Source organism: Homo sapiens, chromosome 3, assembly GCF_000001405.40.
Source record: "Homo sapiens chromosome 3, GRCh38.p14 Primary Assembly".
In the NCBI taxonomy this organism is placed as follows: Eukaryota; Metazoa; Chordata; class Mammalia; order Primates; family Hominidae; genus Homo; species Homo sapiens.
The window spans coordinates 125,068,283-125,090,613 of record NC_000003.12 but is presented as its reverse complement, the minus strand read 5'-3'; the positions used below and the strand labels follow the sequence as shown (position 1 = coordinate 125,090,613).

General features: G+C 44.3%; 1 protein-coding gene and 1 long non-coding RNA gene across 3 annotated transcripts in view; both read left to right on the top strand.

Annotated features, from left to right (window-relative positions):
- Positions 1 to 7,970, top strand: part of SLC12A8 (solute carrier family 12 member 8) — a 130,105-nt gene extending 122,135 nt beyond the window's left edge. For both annotated transcript variants that reach the window (NM_024628.6, NM_001195483.2), the window contains 2 exons: positions 2,244 to 2,304; positions 6,562 to 7,970. In NM_024628.6, coding sequence (NP_078904.4) covers positions 2,244 to 2,304; positions 6,562 to 6,724 — 224 coding nt within the window. In that variant the 3' untranslated portion in view covers positions 6,725 to 7,970. The remainder of the gene's footprint in view (positions 1 to 2,243; positions 2,305 to 6,561) is intronic.
- On the top strand, positions 8,548 to 20,818 carry LOC124906278 (uncharacterized). Its single transcript, XR_007096045.1, has 3 exons — positions 8,548 to 15,479; positions 16,306 to 16,449; positions 17,954 to 20,818. It is a non-coding gene; the product is annotated as an uncharacterized LOC124906278 (long non-coding RNA).
- The last annotated feature ends 1,513 nt before the right edge of the window (positions 20,819 to 22,331 follow it).

Below are 22,331 nucleotides of genomic sequence, written 5' to 3'. Positions count from 1 at the left end.
TTATGCACTTAAAAACACAGCTTTGAAATACACAAACCAAAACCTGATAGAACTACAGGAAGAAATAGAAAAGTTCACAACCATAGTCAGAGATTTCAATACCTCCTTCCTAATAATTGATAAATAAGTATACAATCAGTAAGTCTACAGAAGACTTGAATAACACTATCAACAAACCTGGCTTAATTGACAGTTAGAGAACATTCTACCCCAAAACAGCAGAATATATGTTCTTTTCAATTATACATGAAACATTTACCAGGAGAGACTATATTCTAGTACATAAAAAATATTTCAATAAATTTAAAAGTATTCAAGTCAATTCAAGAACAGAGTATGCTCTCTGACCAGAGGGGGAATAATTAGAAATAAATAACAGAAAGATATCAGAAAATCCTTGAATAAGCCAGGCACAGTTCGCACACACCTGTTGTCTTAGCTACTTGGAGGGCTAAGGCAGGAGAATTGCTTGAGGCCAGGAGTTTGAGGCCAGCCTGGGCAAAATAACAAGACTCTGTCTCCTAAATTAAAAATTAAAAAAAGAAAAGAAAATCCCCAAATATTTAGAAACTAAAGAATATTACATAACCCTAATTAAAATACAGAAAATAAATAATCCATGATTCAAAGAAGAAAGCAGAGTGAAATTACAAAGTATTTTGAACTGAATAAAGGTGAAAATGGAACAGCAAAATTGTGGGATGTAGCTAAGGAAAATTTATAGCATCAAATGCTTACGTTAGAAAAGAAGATCATTTGCAAATCAGTGATCCCAACATCCAACTTAAGAAACTAGAAAAAGAAGAGCAAATTAAACCCAAAGTAAGAGCCCAGTAGGCAGAGGTTGCAGTGAGCCGAGATCAAGCCATTGCACTCCAGCCTGGGCAACAGAGTGAGACTCCGACTCACAAAAAAAAAAAAAAAAGAGAAAAAGGTTCTTCAGAATTAGAATAGTCTGATGCACTTCAAACACTTTGAAAGAAATGCACTTCAAACATTTTAAGTCGTGTGTATTAAAAATAATGATTTAGAAAACAGTAATGTTAAGAAGAGGTCCTTATGTTAGCTGACTTCATGGATAGAATATATTTTAATTAACAGTGATTACTTCAGTGATTGCTTCTTTATTTCTTAAAAAGTAGTTTGATCTTAAGAAATTTCAATTATTTCCTAGAAATCTATTCATAGGAAAACATGAAATCAAATTTCAGGCCAATGTCCATCTAAAATTCAAATAATTTAGAATCTAAATTATCACACTTAAGTAGGGTGAGTTAATAAAATATGTTTATTTTCTTCCTTCTGACAATCTCAAAATGTATTAGAAATCTTCTCTTTGCAATTGCAAATGCAGATCTAAAATTTATCTTCCCTTTAGCCATAAGGGCCTAAATGATATTGAGGAAACAGGTTATCAGCTGCATACTGTTGATATTTGTGGAGATTTTAACATAAGCCTCTTAAAATAATGCTATTTTCCTGATCATATATTGAACATTATCTAATCAATCAATTTTCAATCATATGTATGTATAATTTAGGAAAGCATTTTCTAAAATCACATTTGATTTGTTTCTCTAAAGTTATATATAATTTACTATGTGAATTTTTTTAAACCTACACCAAAGGAGGAATGGATTTTTTTCAATTGATAAACCCTATTCAAATCTGTGTGTTTGATGTCAGGATTATTTGGCTAGAATCAACAACAATGTCACTTCAAACTTCAGCTCTAACATTTCTACATGTGGAACTATTTGATTCACTTAACACCTGTTAAAAAAATTCTTAAGTGCCAGATCCTGTGAGGTACTGTGATGATTATAAGGATGAAAAAGACATGTTCCCAATTCTCAGTGTATGGTCTAGTAGAAAATTTTATGGCGTGTATTCAACACTTGTCAGTATGAATCTTAAAAAATTTATCAAAGTTTTTTAATTCTTAAGACTAAAGTTAGCAAGTCTCTGCATTTGTCTTTATAGCACTTTATCCAGTTTTTTGGGAGTGATTTTGGAGTTTGGAAATAAACTTTTGAAGGATTCACATGAGTAAAAGTCCTTAGTAGGCTGCTGTCATGGAAGATTACAATGAAAATTATTTGTTTAGACTGAAAAAGGAAAACATTTGTGTTAATTCTGTGCGTGTGTGTGTATTGGGGTTTGCATTCACCCTATTAAAACTGAGCTTCTAGATGCCTTATGTAGAACCTTCAAAAATGGTTATGTATATGTCTTCCCTGCAGGATCAGCCTCCAACTTCAGCTTTTTCCGGTGGATGAGGTCTCTCTTGCTCCCCTCCTGCAGGTCTGTGCCAATTTGGAGCCAGTACCAGAATGGATGAGTGTCCAGAGTCCTGGGAGGTGCCAAGGGTGTCCCATTCCTGGCTGGGCTTGGGCCTGGATTGTGGCATGGGAACCTAACAACTGGGCACCTCCGGGAGACTCAGATGTTGCTCCTGCGTGCACTCCACCACACTCGGCCCCCAGATTCGGCTCATCAGAAGCTTCCTCTAGGCTCATGTCCTCTTCCCTTCTTATCCTCAGTCATCAAGAACAGAGGCTTTATTTAGAATCTGGTTGCTGGGGTGATAAGTCACTACTCTCAGTGAGTTTACAGTCTAAGACACATTCACATCAATGCATAATCACACACAAGATTAAAGCCCAAGGGAAATGTAACGCCAGGAAGCACATTCTTCCATCTGAGTCAGAGGTAGTTGACATGACTGGGTTGGGGACAGTGCAGAGGCCAAGTATAGAAATAAAGTGGAGATCCTGGAGGATTTCTGTGGGACCTCTATGGTCAGATATACAGGAAAGGAGAAAAAAAACTTTCCTGAGAAATAGAAGCCTCATAGAGAGGGTATATTTCACATGTGCCCTAATCTCACTCCTTCTCCTCCACTCTTGCAGTATCACTGCTTCTTACCTTTTAAGGCCCTGGGATTCTGGGGAATTACACCCACCCTCTGTCCCCTTTCAATATCAGTGAGGAGCTAGAGCTGCAGGCTAGGAAAATCCAGGCAGAACCCAACCGAGTGTTCATTTGGTTGCATTTTGTTGGTTTGTTTTTGAGACTCTAGATGTCCGGGTTGTACTTGCTAATATTTCCACCCTGCATGTTCAGACATTGCTAGTGGATCATGGGATCCTTTCCCATTGATCCCAGATGTAACTTCATAATCCTTTTTTCTCCTCATTTTAAAAATTATGGTAAAATAGGGCTGGGCGTGGTGGCTTACGCCTGTAATCTCAGCACTTTGGGAGGCCAAGGTGGGCAGATCACCTGAGGTCAGGAGTTCAAGACCAGCCTGGCTAACATAGTGAAACCCCATCTCTACTAAAACTACAAAAATTAGTTGGGCATGGTGGCGTGCCTGTAATTCCAACTTCTAGGGAGGCTGAGGCAGGAGAATCGCTTGAACCCGAGAGGCAGAGGTTACTGTGAGCCGGGATCGTGCCACTGAACTCCAGTCTAGTTGACAAAGTGAGACTCCATCTCAAAAAAAAAAAAAAAAAAAGTGAAATACATGTAACGTGAGATGTACCATCTTAGCCATGTTTACGTGCAGTGTGCAGTTCAGTGGCATTAAGGACATTCACGTTGCTGTGCTATCATCACCATGCCCATTAAACACTCTGCATTCCCAAGAATCCTATTTAAGACAACTCTTCACAAATAATTGCCAATCTATTCAAGATGGCACAAGAAATAAAGCCTTCGTGCTGGAGCTTGGGATGACAAGAAGCAGCAGCAAGGGCTACAGACACCAGCAGGGACAGGGCCCAGGGATGGAGGCTGGGGTGCATGGGGAGCACCCTGTCATCTGCTTACTTGGGCCAGCTGGTCTCAATGTCTCATGTGGAGCTGCAGAGAGGGTGAGTGATCTTTCTGCCTCTTGTCCTGTCCGATGCACAAGGTTGGGTGAGCCAGGTCACAACATTTCTTCACTGATCTCTTCTCCCCTACAACCCAGTCCTGAGAAAGAGTAGAGTTTAAATGGAAATAGATTCTGTGTAAAAGCTGCCTACAGATTCTGGAGCTGCAAGTGGTGTGTGGGTGAGACTATTTTTTTGCCTTGCCTGATTTACAGGAATATTTTTAGTCATTTCTGGTTTTAAAGCCTAAAAATGCCATAGGAGGTCACCAGTCCTTATGTTGTACTCTGAATTCCTAGGATTTCACCTTGGAGGTCACAGCAGTGCTATGTAGAAAGAAGAATGTACTAGGGGGAGATTATTCTTAGAAAAGGACAGTACTTTGGTTGGAGTAGAATCAGTCCACACCATTCATAACACAAACACCAGGCTCTGTGGGCTGTGAGGTGGGGAGCAGAGGCCTCAGCTAAGTCAACATCAAACTTATTGGCCTTACCATGGCTGCTGGGCGATATTTTGGGATGGTTATTCAGGAGGTTGAAAGAACCAAGAAAGGCTGGGCGCAGTGGCTCACACATGTAACCCCAGGACTTTGAGAGGCTGAGGCGGGTAGATCACCTGAGGTCAGGATTTCAAGACCAGCCTGGTCAACATGGCAAAACCCTGTCACCAGGCATGTGGCAGGTGCCTATAGTCCCAGGTACTGAGGAGGCTGAGGCAGGAGAATCACTTGAACCCGGGAGGCGGAGGTTTCAGTAAGCTGAGATCGCACCATTGCGCTCCAGTCTGAGCAATAGAGTGAGACCTTGTCTCAAAAAAAAAAAGAAAAAAAAATGGTGATTTATTTTAAAATAGAGATTGGTCAGATGCACTGGCTCATACCTGTAATCCCAGCACTTTGGGAGGCTGAGGCAGGCCGATCACTTAGGCCAGGAGTTTGAGACCAGCCTCGGCAACATGGCAAAACACCATCTCTACTAAAAATACAAAAGTTAGCCGGGTGTGGTGGTGCACACCTGTAATCCCAGCTACTTGGGAGGCTGAGGCATGAGAATTGCTTGAACCTGGGAGGCAGAGGTTGCAGTAAGCTGAGATCAACCACTGCACTCCAGCCTGGGCAATAGAATGAGACTCTGTCTCAAATAATTAAAATAAGATAAAAAATAAAAATAGAGATTGGTAGCTGTGTTTCTGCTTTGTAGTTTTGAGTTCCCCTCCCAGTCCCCAACTATAACCCCCAAAATGCTCTTCAAAACCTAAGAAGAAGAAGAATGTAGGGTGTGTTTTGGCAGAAGAATTTGGCTAGGTTACTTCCTCTGTTATGCCTACAATTCCCATGAACTATGTGAAGTTGAGCCTGTCATTGAGAAGGCTTTCTTTCTTGAAGCACTAGCAACTGTCCAAATGAGGATTTGAAAGTCATTCTAGACTAGAGAGTGAAGTATTTTACTTCTCCAGACTCAGAAGAATGTAATGGTTTCACCTAAAAAATCAAAACAAAAGCATTAGCAAAAACACTTACATGTTGACTGGTGTGACATTTTTGTCACCTCCTAAACTTTTTGGAGATTCAGCCTTTATAGAAGTTAATTCAGTTCTCAAGAACCCTCAGAGACCTATATGATTTATACATGTTCTCAACAACTGGCTGTAATGCCATAGTCATGTGATCTGAACTTCTATAGCAGGACATTTGGCCAGAGTCCGTTGAAACTTTCTGTTTAAGTTCCACAGATCAATAACATTAGATTTCTACCTTTTCGCAACTCTCAAATGTATTCCATATTCAAACAATTGAAACTTATTACTCATAAAGTAGATGATTCTTTTAGAGTAAAAATTTTAAGAGGAAATCCATGTCTAAGGTATGACTTACAGACCTAACACAGACTATAGGAACTGGAAGAGACCCGGGAAGATGAGAAAATAGAGACACAAGAAGGTAAAGAGGCTTCTGGAGGCCACCTAGCTGATTAGGGATGGAGCTGTGACTGGGTCTGCCTTCCGTAGCAGCTGCCTGGACAGCCAGCCTGAGCTTTCCTCACTCCTTTCTTCCTCTTAGCACTTTCCCTATGCATCCCTAACATTTTTCTTTCCCAGTTTATTCCAACCGAAACTGTATGCAGAGACTCCAGTGACAGTGGGATCCATATGGGACTTGCTCTTCACCTGAGGCCACCTTGGTGTCAAAAGCCTTTGCAGTCCCTCTTAGCTGCTTGCTGTGTGAGCCTTAGCTCTTGAAATCACTCCTTATTCAACTTTCTTTTCAATAGACCTACGAGAATTTTCTCTTTCTGCTCTTCTCAATTTTCCAGCCTCTCCATTCCATTATTTTTGACAAAAAAAAAGGCAAAGAAAAGCTACAGAGCCCCAACATGATACCATTTGGAGGGCAAAACCTCTCTTTGTTGGTTATTTCCTATCAGGTAGGTACAGCTTTATACTTTTCTACTTAGGGAGGGTAAATATCACTCTCTCTGTCTCTTTTTATTTTATTTGATACTTTGTATTTCTCATGCTTTGAGTTCATATATACCTGTACATATACCTTTCAAGAATTATGTTTTAAACATTTAAATACATGTGTGTTTACAGATAATTTCTTTATGCCCAGTAGACTCACCTCTACTGTTCAGTCTCTGTTCTGTCCTTCTCACCATCCTCTGTGTCTCTCTCACTGCAGGAGCTTGCGGTCCCCTCAGGAGCAGATCATCTTGGCGCCGTCCCTGGCTAAGGTTGACATGGAGATGACTCAGCTCACCCAGGAGAATGCAGACTTCGCCACTCGGGATCGCTACCACCACTCCTCCCTCGTGAACCGGGAGCAGCTGATGCCTCACTACTAGATGCAGTGCTGGGACCTTCCTCTTTTGGAGCTGTCCCATGTACAGTGGACCCAAGCTCAGGACCTTCGTGGAGCTGCTTCTCCAACCTGAGAAACTCAAGACCCATCCTCCCGCTGTCACTTTGGACAATGGAAATCTACATTTTCTTTTCCCTTTTTTTTTTTTTTTGAGACAGAGTCTCGCCCTGTCACCCAGGCTGGAGTCCAGTGGCACAATCTTGGCTCACTGCAACCTCTGCTTCCCGAGTTCAAGCAATTCTCCTGCCTCAGCCTCCTGAGTAGCTGGGATTATAGGCATGCACCACCACACCCAGCTATTTTTTGTATTTTTACTGGAGACAGGGTTTCACCATGTTGGCCAGGCTGGTCTCGAACTCCTGACCTCGTGATCCACCCGTCTCAGCCTCCCAAAGTACTGGGATTACAGGCGTGAGCCACCATGCCTGGCCAGAAATCTATGTTTTCTTAGAACATGTGGAAGAAGGAAAAAGACAAAAAAGGAAATCTGGATTCTGAGGACCACGTCTCACCCAGGGTGACATCAGGAATGGTGCTAGCCTCTGCAACACGACACCCAGTCTGAAGAGCTCTATACAGGTACTAAGACTAGCAGGGGACACCAAGACTCTGCACAACCAGATTGCTTGTGCAGAGGGCCACAATAAGTGTATGTTTTATATTTTATTGTATTATTTATTCAAAAATAAATAATACACTCACATGTTTCCACACCCAAAAGATATATAGAGTGAAAAGTCTCCCTCCAATCCTTATTCTCCACCTGCTCAGTTCCTGTCTACCCTGGCCTAGAGGTAACCACTATTCTCATCCGTACATCCAGCATTTCTTTATGGATATACAAGCAAATGGGAATGTAGAGTCTCACATTCTCTCTTTATACACAAAAGTTAGCACGTTATACACATGTTCTGCACCTTGCTTTTTTCCCTTAACAATCTATCTTGGAGACATTTCATATCAATTCATATGCCATTTGTTCATTTTTTTCATTGTATAAATGTGTTATAATTTATTTCGCCAGTTCCACAATGATGAGCATTTGGATTCTTTCCAATCTTTTGCAATGACAATCAGCTCTGCAGTGAATAATCTTGTACAAATGTGCAAGCATAAAGTGTATCTCTAGGATAAATTCCCAAAAGTGGAATTGCAGGATCAAAAGGTACATGCATTTGTAAACTATTATTGTTTAGTGAGGGTCTTTTTAATTAAAGAATTAACATGAATTGCCTAATGGTGACTCATATTCTCAAAAGAATTTGTGGTCCTCAACTCCTGGAATGCCTTCGCAGCTGTTTTGCAACATGAAAGGCATGAGGGGACAGGACTCTTTTGGTTTCCTTATGAGCTCTGCCTGACATTCATCACAAGCACCCAGTACCGGGGGCCGTGGCAGTAGCTTTCCCCAGAAAAGTTTAGCACTTGGCCCAGGGTCAGAGGCTTCGCCATCAAGCCATGGAGGAAAGTACTGTTGGATCACTTCTGGCTCCTTCTTCTATAGTGGAGGTTCTCATGAATCAGTGGGCTAACAATCACCTGGGATGCTTGTCAAAAGTGCAGATTTCAGGCTGGGCTTGGTGGTTCACGCCGGTAATCCCAGCACTTTGGGAGGCTGAGACGGGTGGATCACTTGAGGTCAGGAGTTCGAGACCTGCCTGGCCAACATGATGAAACCCCGTCTCTACTAAAAATACAAAAAATTAGCTGGATGTGATGGCGGGCACCTGTAATCCCAGCTACTTGGGAGGTTGAGGCAGGAGAATCGCTTGAATCTGGGAGGCAGAGGTTGCAGTGAGCCGAGGTCACACCACTGCACTCCAGCCTGGGCAACAAGAGTGAAACTCTGTCTCAAAAAAAAAAAAGTGCAGATTTCTGCATCTCACCCCTAAACTTTTTATTTGGCAAGTCTGAGATGGAGTCCTAGACTTTACATCTTTAACAAGTGCCTCAGGTGATTCAATGCAGGCAGTCCTTGGACCGCATTTTGAGAAATGCTGAGCTGTTGAATGGAAGGGGCTTAGTGTGGGTGAGGGCTGGGAAGGTCAGGATGAAGGGTCAGCTAGATCCTAATGTTCTCTCCTGGAAGATGAGGTTTCATTTATTATTACTGTTCTCACAATCTGGCTTTAGTTAAATACCAGATTTCTGAGCATCATTAGAAAGCAGAGTCTGAGTTGGCAGTAGGCATGTAGGAAGGAGAAATGCTGAAAAAGGTTGTAGCTATGAAGGGCTAAGTTGGGTGACCTTGGAGGACCTTTTTATTTATTTTTGAGACAGGGTCTCACTCTGTCATCCAAACCGGAGTGCAGTGGCATGATCATAGCTCACTGCAGCCTCCACCTCCTAGGTTCAAGTGATCCTCTCACTTCAGCTTCCTAAGTAGCTGAGACTACAGGTACACACCACCACGCCTGGCTAATTTTTTTGGTATATTACCCAGGCGCTTTTTAAGAAGAAGCTGTTCTAGTTTCCTGTGGCTACTATACCAAATTACATAAATCGGATGGCTTAAAAACAACAGAAATGTATTCTTTCACAGTTCTGGAGGCCAGACATCTGAAATCAGTAACACTTAGGTTAATTCAAGGTGTCAGCAGGGCCGAGCTCCCTTCAGAGGCTCCACGAGGGATTTATTCCCTGCCTCTTCCAGCTTCTGGTGGCTTGTGATCACATCACCCAAATCTTTAAAGCCAACATTTTCAAATCTCTCTGTTCCATCTTTACATCACCCTCTCCTCTGTGTATATGAAGTCTACCTCTGTCTCCTTTCTGTAAGGATACATGTGATTGCATTCAGGGACCACCCAGATAATCCAGGATCCTCTCCACATCTCAAGAGCTGTACTTTAATCACATCTGCAAACGCTTTGCCAAAAGAGGAAACATTCACAGGTTCCAGGGAATAGGACGTGGGTCTTTTGGGGGGCCCTTTTTCAGCCTATCACAGAACCTTTACTGAATCTGCTTTTTTGAATTCTACATAACAAGCTAAAAAAGTAACCACTCTGTTTAAGCCCTTTGGGAGCCCTCATTGCCTCCCCATTGATGGATTAGGTAAGGACATGATCTAACCTTGGCCAAGAGCACCTGAGATGGGGTCTCAGGGCTTCCAGAGATGGTTGCCCTTTCTCATGGATATTGTTGGCCCCACACATGATGCCTGTATGAGACTCATCGAGTTTCCAACTCTTCTAGCCCAGGAGTTGCCTGCCTTACACTGCCCTGGATTGTGTGACAAAGAGTTTAAGCCACTTCAATCCTGGGGTTCCTGCTCATTGCATGGGATGGATTGAGAACAGTATCAGGCACTGCTCGCCTTAAGCACCAAGTGCAGGAGCCACCTGTGCTCCCAAGGCGTGTGCTTCAGTTGGTGCTTTGTCACAGTCATTTACTGGTGATAGTTTAATAGAGAAGGGAAGGCTTTTGTGGGGAGTCCTGACTTTGCTTCAGAAAGGACAGCAGAATGGTAAGGAATAGGTCAAAATTCAGGTATGGTCTCATTTGCATTGTTGCCCAAGAGCTTCCTGGAAAGAGTACAGAGCTCTGTGGGCCAAGTCTTGTGGCCTAGATATCATGACTACATGTTGGGCCTAGAGCTCAGCCTGAGGGACCATAGTTGTCGTGACAGCCTCCAGTAGTTCCTGGAGCAGCAAGAATAAGGTCTCTTGTTTACAGAGGTTGTCCCACACTCCTCAGCAGTGTTGAGAAGAGGTTGTCTCCAGCACCTCCCTAGGAGACTGGTCTCAAAAGTCTAGAAACCAGTAATCAGATGTCACTCACTGTAGGATACAAGTGGAATGATATTCTACTAGGAAACAAGCATTTCTAAAAAAATTACAAAAATGTAAACTGGTAACTCTGATAAATGCTTAAAGGTGACATCTCTGATGGTGTCCATCAAGACTAAGCTTGATTCTCTCCATTTGAAGACCTCTGGGTCAGTCCTCAAATCTGTGTCCTGAGGGCTTAAGGTAATCACAGCAATCGGCCCTGACTTTTGAGTGGACAGATCCTTATCTTGTCTGCTCCTTTCCTTTTGTGCTGTTATGACTAATCTTTTTTTTTTTTTCCTTTGAAACATGATCTTACTCTGTCACCCAGGCTGGAGTACAGTGGTGCAATCACAGCTCACTGCAGCCTCAACCTCCTGGGCTCCAGCCATCCTCCCACCTCAGCCTCCCAAGTAGCTGGGAGTGCACCAGCGTACCCAGCTAATCTTTGTAATTTTTGTAAAGATGGGATTTTGCCATGTTGTCATGCTGGTCTCGAATTTCTAGGCTCAAGTAGTCCTCCTGCCTCAGCCTCACAAAGTGCTGGGATTACAGGTATGAGCCACCCCACCCGGCCATGACTAATCTTAATATGTCTATTTTTGCTCATTGTCACTGAGTGGACCTGGAGGCTGAGGGCTGGAAGAGCAACTGGAATTGCTGTAGTGCCAAATATATCCCCTTTCATGTTGATGCCACCCTGGCCAAGGTATCATTTTTGTGTGGCAGCCAGAGAAATCTTTTCAAAAAGAAGGTGGAGCTCTAGTCCTGTGGCTGCCAGTTGTCTTCAGGTCCCGGCCTTTCCTGCCCCCAGGCTCATCTCTATCCAGGACTGCCTGGGAGTCCAGCTCCAGTCAAGTTCAGAGGTAACAAGCAACGTTATTGTAGCTTTATGTAAAATAACCAGAAAGTAGAAATGACCCAACTCTCTATTGACAAGAATGGATCAACATCCTGTTGCATCCACGCAATGGAATCCTAGTGAGTATTAAAGTAATGACACAGGAAACCATGTAGCTGAATTTTAAAGCACTGGGTAAGTAAAGGAAGCCAGGCACAAAAGATGAAATACTTGAAGTTTTATTTGTTTGACCTCCAGGAAAGGCAGTAGCACAATGACAGAAGGCTGGGTCTGGGTCTGGGAGGGGGTCGATTGCCAAGGGCATGACACAACTTTTTGTGGTGAGGAAATTCTTCTTCTTCTTCTTTTTTTTTTTTTTTGAAATGGAGTCTCGCTCTGTCACCCAGGCTGGAGTGTAGTGGTGCGATCTCGGCTCACTGCGACCTCCGCCTCACGGGTTCAAGTGATTCTCCTGCCTCAGCCTCCCAAGTAGCTGGCATTACAGGTATGTGCCACCAAACCCAGCTAATTTTTGTGTTTTTAGTGGAGACAGGGTTTCGCCATGTTGGCCAGGCTGGTCTTGAACTCATGACCTCAAGTGATCCTCCCGCCTCAGCCTTCCAAAGTGCTGGGATTACAAGCATGAGCCATTGCGCCTGGCTGGGGAAATTATTCTGTAACTTGATTTCGGTGGTGGTTTTATGATTATATCCACTTATTAAACTCATTGAATCATACACTTAAGAAAGTAACCACTCTGAAAAGGATAGTACTGAGTTTGAAAACCAGCAGTTTGAAAAAGATGGTACCAAGGTTAAAAACCAAATGCAGTAGAATATCCAAGTATCCAGGAAGAGCACCTTCCTAATGTGATTGATTTTATGGAAAAGAATAAGAGAAGAATGGAGCATGATAAAGAATTCAAACATTATTTTCCACATTGGGGTCGCCAAAATGAATGGCTCGGTCTAGTGTAGGAGGCAGGTGCTACACAGGCTGACTTTCTAATGAGGTCCAAAAATCTTGTATTTCACTCCAGCTAGATTGTGAAAATAGTAATAGTAACACCAGGTCTTAGCCTGGGTTTCTCAGAAAGCGGAAGCTTATGAGCTACCCCTTGATTGGAGAGTGCAGCCACAGAAGCAGGATGAGAGGAAAGAGGGGTAAAGCAGGGGAGGAGGGCTAGCAACAACTTAGTATCATATGCAAATGATGCTTCACCTCAAAGGACTCTGCTGAGAAACCACAGGAACCCTAGGGGTAGGAAGGGATCAGAATTCATCTACTGGCTTCTGCTTCCCATAACCAAAAGTTAGCTCTGGGTGGGCACCAGCAACCCTGCCATTGTGACCTGCACGACGTGAGTGCTTAGCAGGCTGCAGCAAGAAGACACTGGCTGCAGCCCACCAGAACTGGTTGTTCCAGTGGCGGCTGAGATGGAACAAGTGGACTTGCCCCAGAGACAGGTGGAGCAGAGAGGATCTGAGGTGGCACATTAAGAGGGATTATAAATAACGTGCATATTGACAGAGGTCAGTGGTAAGTACAGGTTGTCAGACAAAACATGCATGTCACTGGATCATTCTTATCTAAAGGATGCCCCCAAAATGTCAGTACAGCCGGTATATGTGACAGTGAGACCAGCAACATTTTCTAAGATAGGGAGAGGGGCAGGTTCCTGGCCTGAATTTTACCAAGAAGTCCACAGTTGTAGGTGATAATGTCTGAATGAGTGAAGGTTGTATCAGACCTTCTGGGCCCATGAAGGTCTCCCTTCAGACCAGTCTATAGATTGATCCATCCAATGATCCATCTACCTGCCCACACACCTACCCATTGACCTACCCAGCCATCCATCCATCAATCCATCCACCCATCCATCCATGGCTGGAGCAACTGTTCTCATAACTTTGTAGATGGGTGTCTGAAACCACCTCATCAGAGTCAGGTACACCTCACCAGTCTCAGAGCTCTATCATGTAAAAATATGATCACAGGCCATGCAGGTATAAGCAGACTCCCCAGCCACCAACCTCAGACCTTAAGGATGAGTACAGCCCAATGCCAGAGCATTCTTAAACTCAGGTGAGGAACCAGAACAGCAGTGATTTTCTCAGCTGTCTCCAGGAGTCATGCTAACAAGTCCTCTCACCTATATAATAGGGGGTATCCTGCACAATTATAAATTAGTGTGGGAGTTTGAGGTCCAGGATTCCATCATCCTTCCTTCTCTCCAGGTTTCTGACTGAGGAGATGGGAAACAATGTGTCTGTTAATGTATTAATACCAGGACGAGGGTGCAAAGCTTTTGTTAAGAGCTGTAGTGGAGAATGCAGTCAAGGTCAGAGGATTGACACAAGTCCTCTAGTGTCTACCTTTATTCCTCTTAAGTCTAAGAATCCAGAGACCCCATGAGGATGGATGAGAAGCTGGCACCAAGAGAAAGAATGCCCATCTGGGTGGCAAGGGCAGCTGGTCTTGTCACCCAGTAACAGATGGACAGAGACCATGTGGTGGCTACACATTACCTTTCAACTCAGGGCCCTGCCTACCAATGCAGGGTGGTCCAGGCACTGGCCAATCAGATTGCCCCCCACCATGGGGAGGAGCAAATACAGGACGACAGAGGTGGAGCAGGGGGCAGAGTGTTCCCTCTTCTTTGTCATGGAGGAAGGGAGTTGGATGGGAGTTCCATCCTTTCCATGAGTAGAGGGAAGTGAGGACTGAAGAAAGGAGCCCAGTGGTGGTGACAGCAGAGACAGTGGCAGAGCCAGGGTCCATGGATGGGCAAAGGAGCCCCTAGCCCACTCTGACAATGGTCAGGGAGGGCTCCCTGGGGAGGAGGTAAATGACCCGCACTCAAGCAGTTAGCTGCAGAGAGGACGGCTGGGCATCTACACAGAAGGGACAGCGTGATCAAAGGCAAGGAGATGAGACACAGTGTATGGGGACTGGCCATAATTTAGGCTTTCAGGAGCCTATGGCCTGCAGCAGCCTGAGGCAGGAGAGGTAGGCTAAGTCGGATCCTGAAGGGGCTTGCAGGCCACCCTGTGTGCCTAGAGAATGAGGAGGGAAGGCCGGAGAGTGATAGCAAAAATCAATCCTCTAAATGTTACGGGGTTTTATTTTTTAAATGAATTTGCATGATCCTGGATCAGGAAAAATCCAGCCTCTGATCTCCTCTTTACCTGACACATTCGTTGGTTCCTGTTTCTGCCCTCCTTGATACACTGGAGAATTGGGGGAGGGCCAGCAGGGGGCTTTCCACCCCTGATATTAGGCCAGTGGGAGGAGAGGCCGAGGAGCCAGCCCAGACCCCTGGAGGGGCAGGGGGCAGTCACTTGCAGTTCTCAGAGCCTCCACTGTATGCTGAGCTCCAGTGCACTGTATGCACTGAGGGCCTGTGGAAGTGGTCTTGGGGGAGAGTAGAGACAGGAACAAATTGAACAGTACACCCAGCCCTGAAGTGTTACTTTCCTGTGGCTGCCACAATAAATTTGCACACGTTTAGTGGCTTAAAGCAACATAGATTTGTTATCTTACAGTTCTAGAGGTCAGAAGGCTGAAATGGGTCTCACTGGCTAGAATCAAGGCGGCAGAGCTGGGCTCCTGCTGCAGGCTCTGTGGGGTAGTCTGCTCCTTTCTTTTTCCAGCTTCTAGAAGTGTCTGCTTTCCTTGATCGAGGCTGTTGCATCTTCAGCTCCAGCAGGCAGCAAGCACATCTCCTCTGGCCTCTGCTTCTGCCATCTCACCTCCTTCTCTGGCTCTCCTGCCTTCCTCTTCTGCTTTGAAGGACCCTTGTGATTAGATCGGGCCTGCCTGGATAATCCAGCACAGTCTCCCCTCTCAAGATCCTTAATTTAATCATAGCTGCACAGTCCCTTTTGTCCTGTAAGAGACATCTTCACAGGTTTTGGGGATTAGGACCAGACCGTCTTTGGAGGGGCATCCTTCTGCCTGCCATATGTGACTTGGGGGCATGCGGGAAATGGCTGGAGCGTAACCACAAAGCATACAGCATGCAGCCAAGCAACATGTGACAAGATGAATCCACAAGCGCTGGGGAGACAACCAGTGAGGAAGAAGCCCAGGAGACTTCTTGGAGGAAGCGAGTTTCAAACCAGGTTGGTGAGAGGACATGGCAAGGCTTCTGAACCAAGAGAATGAGATGGACAAAGACACATGGGGCAGAAGGCCCCAGGCAGGAGAGGGCAGGCCTACCTGTAACCCAGGCCTCTTCTTCCTGCCTTTTACTTTTAAGTGAGGTCACCTGAGAAGGAGGTTGGTGTGGCTGCAAATTCATGGGAATTGGGAAAGAAAATCTCTGTTTCCACCTTGGCTCTGTCACTTACTAGCTCTGTGGCCTCGGGCAGCCTTCTTCATCTCTGAGCTTTGGTTTCCTTCTCTGTAACATGGGAATTATAATCCTACCTTCCTCCACGTGGAGTTGTGAGTACTAAAAAAGTGAGACACATTTTTTTGGAGGAGATAAAGATGGGGTGTTGCTGGGGGATGTGGAGGAGCATCTCAAGAATGTTCTCCTCCCACCCCTGCTCATTCCATGCCACTTAGTGTGGGCAACACCACAGGAAAAAAACAAAAAGCCATGAAAACTGCAGTGTGTCTTGGCACCTGCTCACCTGGAATTTCGGAGCACAGTGGGGTTCTGCTTCAGGAGGTCATGCTGTATCATGTAAGACACAGACACAGCGGCGCACCCTCACTAGCCAGCACCAGGAAACCTGCAAGCCCAAATCAGAGAGAGGAGAGGCTGCAGAGCTGCCACTCAACTGCCATTTCAGCTCTGCCCACTGCCCCACCCAGCCACCCCCTTAGCCTATCAAATTTATTTAGCCACTTCCCTATATCAATCCTTTGCCCAGCCTCCTCCCTCCCTTCCCAGAGCTTTGGAAATTTTTTATTTTATTTTATTTTATTTTATTTATTTAGAGACAGGAGCTCACCCTGTCACCTAGACTGGAGTGCAGTGGCACAGTCATAATTCACTGCAGCCTCAATCTTCCAAGCTCAAGTGATCCTCCTGCCTCAGCCTCCTGAGTAGCTGGGACCACAGACACTCACTACCATACTCAGGTAACTTTAAAAAAAATTTATTCTTGTAGAGACAGGGTCTCACTCTGTTGCCCAGGCTGGTCTCGAACTCCTGGGCTCGAGCAATCCACCTACCTCATCCTCCCAAAGTGTTGGGATTACAGGCGTGAGTCATTGCACCTGGCTGGAAATGTTACTTAAAACCTACCTTGCTCTCCAGTTCTTTTGAACCGTGGCTTACCTGAGAGTAAACAACTCACGCCTTGCTCTGTCTTATCCCCTCGAGGTCCTCATAGACATCTAAGAGGGGAGGATCCGCTGTGGAAGTGCATGGGCTGGAGATTTTTCTACATTGCTTGCACTTCTCCATCGGCAGGGGGACTGTGGAAATCTGTGCTCACCAAATACTGCTCAGCAGTCCTGTGTCTTGGAGATGTACCTGGGCTCCTTTGGGGAGGCTCACAGCAGCAACAGATGCCAGTTAGTCAGCTTGAGGCAGGAAGGAGAGGCTTAAGCCCCTGACTCTTGATAAGGCACTCTTCTTGGGAAGAAGGCCACATTCAAGTAGAAGGCAAAGCAGATGGTGAGAAAGGCCCACCAGCATCAGGGGTCTCCAGCTGGCTGTGCTTCCGGGAATGCAGCCCGTTCTGCAGCATCACGGCTGGCACCAGCTCCCTGCTCCCAACCTCCAACCTGCCAAGGGTGAGTGGGGGATGCAGACTCACCACCTTTCGTTGGCGTGAAGGGAGACACAGCCACCTTCTAAAAGGTGCAGAGTGATTCTCTAAATGAGAGTCTCTAAAATATTGGAAAGCCTGTTTTTTTTTTTCTGCTGTATCTTGTTTTAAATAACACACACCAGTGCATGTGTACATGTGTGCACTTTCTTGTTTCTGTTAGAGAAGGTTGGACTCACCAAATGTGAAGCCTGGCTTAAAATACAGGCCATGTGGTATACATCAGATTCACTTTGGGGAGCTCTGAGGGCAGGTGGCATTTCAAAGGATTAGCAGTCATGCCCCAGCAGCCAGCAGGAGGGCTTGACGAGTGCTGATCTGTGCGATGTGACATATACCATATGTATTAAGAGGCTGACGATGGAGAAAACAACACTGGCTTCAAATATGAACCCCAAACTGAAAGTCATAAGGATAAATGCTCCAAATGGCAGTGTCAATTTCTATTCTACTTAAGCTGCTTCTCACATAGGCAACTTAGTGTAATTTTGTGTGTCTGTGTCAGTCAGGCCAGACTTGCTGCTATAACAAACGGCCCCCACATTGCTGTGACTGAACACTATAAATTTATTCCTAGTTCATGTTACAGTCCAGTGCAAGTCAGAAGGGAATGAGTTTTTCTTTACACTGTCATTCAGGGACCTGGGCTCCTTCAGTTGCATGGCTTGAACACCTTCTATGACCCCAGAGTCTTCCCCTGAATTCTCAGCACCAGCTGGCAGGTGAGAGAAGAGGGACACATGGAGGAACCCAGAAAGGTTTTAGGGGCCAAGGCTGAAAGGGCTCCTGTCACTTTCTCCTTCATTCAGTTGGCCAGAAGTAGACATATCATCTGTCAAACTGAAAGCAGTCTGGGAGCTACAGAGCAGCTGTGTGCTCAGGAAGAAGAGGACTGAGTTTGGTGGGCATCTGGCCAGTTCCTGCCACCATGCTGCTGGATGAGAAAGCTGGATGAAGTTCCTTATTAAGGGCAAATGAGTGAGTCTCCTGACTTGACTAGGTTTGTGCCTTCAGAGCTCTGTCTCCTGTGGTGAATCACACACTCCAGCCAACAATTCTGCCATTCTTCAAATCATGCTTGGGATTCCATTTTTGGTACTCTCTTCAGAGCCTTTGAATATTCTAATGAATGGTAAATTTTTATCCTTTGAGAGTTCTTTTGATTCCTAGAAGCACCAGAAATCATTTGGAACCAAGCCTGGGAATAAGGGGACTGATCAAGCTAAATCACCTTTTTTGGGTCAAAAATGAGATGTGACCATAAAGTAAACCAACTCTTGAGGCAAATTCCAAAGATGAGATACCCACACAGCACATTTTGAGGATTGACTGTGTCACTGGAATAATTCTGTGAGGCTTCCCAAGGGGCTGATTTGGAAGGAACAACATTCATTTACATGCAGTCATGTGCCGCATGATGACATTTGGGTCAATGACAGAACACATATATGACAGGGGTCCCATAAGATTATATAAGAAAATTCCTATCACCTAGTGATGTTATAGCCATTGTAATGTCATAACACAACACATTACTCGTGCTTGTGGTGATGCTGGTGTAAACAAACCCACTTCACTGCCAGTTGTATAAAAGTATAGCACATATTAATACAATTATATACAGTACATAATACTTGATAATAAACAACCATGTTACTGGTTTATATATTTAGTATACTATACTTTTTATTGTTATCTTATTTTTTGTTTTTCTTTTCATTTTTGAGATGGAGTCTTGCTCTATCACCCAGGATGGAGTGCAGTGGCATGATCTTGGCTCACTACAACCTCCGCCTCCTGGGTTCAAGTGATCCTCCCACCTCAGCTTCCCAAGTAGCTGGGATTACAGGCGTGTACAACCACACCCAGCTAATTTTGTTTTGTGTTTTTAATAGAGACAGGGTTTCACCATGTTGGCCAGGCTGGTCTCGAACTCCTGACCTCAAGTAATCCACCTGCCTTGGCTTCCCAAAGTGCTGGGATTACAGGTGTGAGCCACCACACTCAGCCTTTTTATTGTTATTTTAGAGTGTACACCTGCTACTAATTAAAAAAGAGAAGTGGTGTAGAAAAAAGAAAAATTAAATAAATCTGCTAAAATCTCTTTTTAAAATTTAAAGTAAACCTAATCTGGTATTTCCAGATTAAAAAAAAAGAGTTAAGTGTAAAACAGCCTCAGGCAGGTCCTTCAGGAGGTATTCTAGAAGAAGGCATTGTTATTACAGGAGATGGCAGCTCCATGTGTATTATTGCCCCTGAAGACCTGCCACTGGGGCAAGATGTGGAGATGGAAGACAGTGATAGTGATAATCCTGACCCTGTGTAGATCTAATGTGTGTGTTTGTATCTTTGTTTTTAACAAAAAAGCTTAAAAAGTAAAAACAAGTAAAAAAATTTAAAAGTAGAAAAAAATTAGAAAATTAGAAAAAAAGTAGAAAAGTAGAAAAAAGCAGAAATTATAGAATAAGGAAGTAAAGGATATAAAGAAAGAACATCTTTTTGTATAGCTATACAATGTGTTTGTGTTTTAGCTAAATGTTAATACAAAAGAGACAAAAAGTTAAAAAAATTAAAGGTTTATAAAGTAAAAATGTTACATTAAGGTTAATTTGTTATTGAAGAAAGAAAAATATCTTTTATAAATTTAGCGTAGCCTAAACACAACGTCTACATAAAGTCTACAGAGTCAGGCACAGGAATGTCCCAGGCCTTCCCATTCACCTACCTCTCACTCACTGACTCACCCAGAGCAACTTCCAGTCCTACAAGATCCATTTACGGTAAGCGCCCTGTACAGGTGTACCTTTTTAAATCTTTTATACTTTATTTTTACTGCAGCTTTTCCATGTTTAGATAAACAAATACCATTGTGTTACAGTAGTCTACATTATTCAGTGCAGTAACATGCTGTACAGGTTTGTCACATAGGAACTGTAGCCTATGTCATACAGCCTTGGTGCGTAGTAGGCAGTACCTTCTGAGTTTGTGTGAGTATACTCTATGATGTTCAAACCACAACACAATTGCCTAAGGATACATTTCTCAGAAAGTATCCTTGTCATTGAATGACACATGACTGTATATACATTTTGATAAATTGTGTGTGTGTGTGTGTGTGTGTGTGTGTGTGTAGTGGATTACTTTGTAGTTTAGGTTCATACGCTGTCATTTATTCATGATCTATGTTGGTCTTTTTGCCCAATCAACTGAATCTACAGGAGTAGAGGTGTATCTTCTGTAAGCAATCATCTCAATTTATGGTTTTAAGTATTCTTGACATGCCGTCAGCCTGTATAACCCATCATGGATTTGTTCCGTCACTCACTAAGTATGTATTGAATGTCTATGTGTGCAAAGCTATTTTGCTTGATTCAGACAAACTGTGATACTAGATGACAGCAACTGCTTCCCTAGCAGCCTGAAGCTCAGTTTGTAGGTGCTAGCAACAGAGTGTTCTAGGATGAAGAAGCAAGAATCGGGCACAGACCTCTTGGATGGCCAGTATGAGAGGAAACTGGTCTTGGAATAGGCTGCACTTGATGGTTCAACTGAAGTGTCCTGAGAAGAGTGATTACCCATAAAATTTTCTCATTGGCTGAAGAACACTGGATCAGCTTTTCCCTGGACTGGTGCTTTGCTTTTCTGAATAAACCCAGTGTCTTGGAACATCCTCACATGTATTTCAGAATTACTTATGTCACCCCAAGAAATACAACCTCAGATTATCTTTTTCTCATGAGCAATGAGGAGGAAGCATAAGAGATAAGGGTGGACCCTGCCGTATAGTCACAGTCCAGGAAGGAAGTTGGGGACCTCCTTGTACCATCATATGACTGCATTCAAAGATGAGGAAGTAAAGCCTTATGTCTGAAAGTGTAGTCCTCAGCTCACTGATAAAATAAAAAATCATCTGGGATGCTTGCTAATATGCAGATTTGGGGCCCTTCCATTTAAGCAATCCCTCTCCAGGTGATTTGTTAAGGCTTGAGAAGCACAGGTGGAAGGGCTTTGGGCTGCCCTGAGTCTGTGACTAGCTGTCTCCATCAGCTCCAGGCTCTGCAGCGAGCAGCAGGAGTCCCAGACCAGAGCTTCAGTTGCTAGTGCCGGTGAGACACACTGGTCCACACTGGGGTCCAATAAACCACACTGCAATGAGGCCTGTCCCTGTGGGTCACGTTGATGAGCTGGAGACAAAGCACTTCAGAACCTTGTTTTACCAAGCATGGTGGAGACGGGCTGCATCATCTTGGTGTGCATGTGTGCATGAAGTTTGTGTTTGCACCTGTGGGGTCTATTTCTCCGTAGATCTGGGGATATACATTTTGTTCTCTCTGCCACTGACTGGTAGGGCCTCTTCCTTTACCTCCCACCCCAGTGCCCAACTCCTCCCTTCTTTCCAGTCTCACCTCTCTGCCTGCTAGGGCTCCAAGCCCTGCCTAGACAACAGTCCAGAGAAGAGCTGATCCATGATCAGGGACCCCAGGCAGGGCTTGGAGCCCTAGGAACAGCTAGGGTCTTGCAATTCATAGTCAATCCTTAAAATTAAGTAAGAAAATCTTTATTGACCTTATGCTAGCCACCTACATTCATTATCTCATTTGATTCTCAGAACAATGCAATGATGTAGGTACTCTTTTTCCCCATTTTATAGAAGAGGAAAACTGAGGCTCAGGATAAGTAAATAAGTAATTTACTGAAAGTCCCATAGCTAGGAAGTGACAGAGTCAGATTTGAACTCAGATCATTCACTGGTCACTGTTCATGGGACCCATGGAAGCCAGCACAGTCCTTGTCTTCTCTAAGTCCCCAAGTGCTCCTCCCCATCCTGCCCTTCACCCCTCTTGCCCCACTGTCTAGAACAGGTGTTTGCAAACTACAGCCCCATGGGCCAAATCAAACCCATGGCCTGCTTTTGTTTTAATTGAGGTGAAACTCACATAACATAAAATTAACGATTGTAATCACTGCCTGTTTTTGAAACGAAAGCTTTATTGGAACACAGCACACCCACTCACGCATTGTCGGTGGCTGCTTTTACACTGCAGCAGCAGAGTTCTACAGCTGTTGTGACAGGCACCATAGGGCCCACAAAGCCTAAACTATTTACTATCTGGCCCTTTACAGAAAATGTTTCCTGAGCCCTGCTTTAGATGATTTTGATCTATTCTCTTTAGACAGGACCTGGGC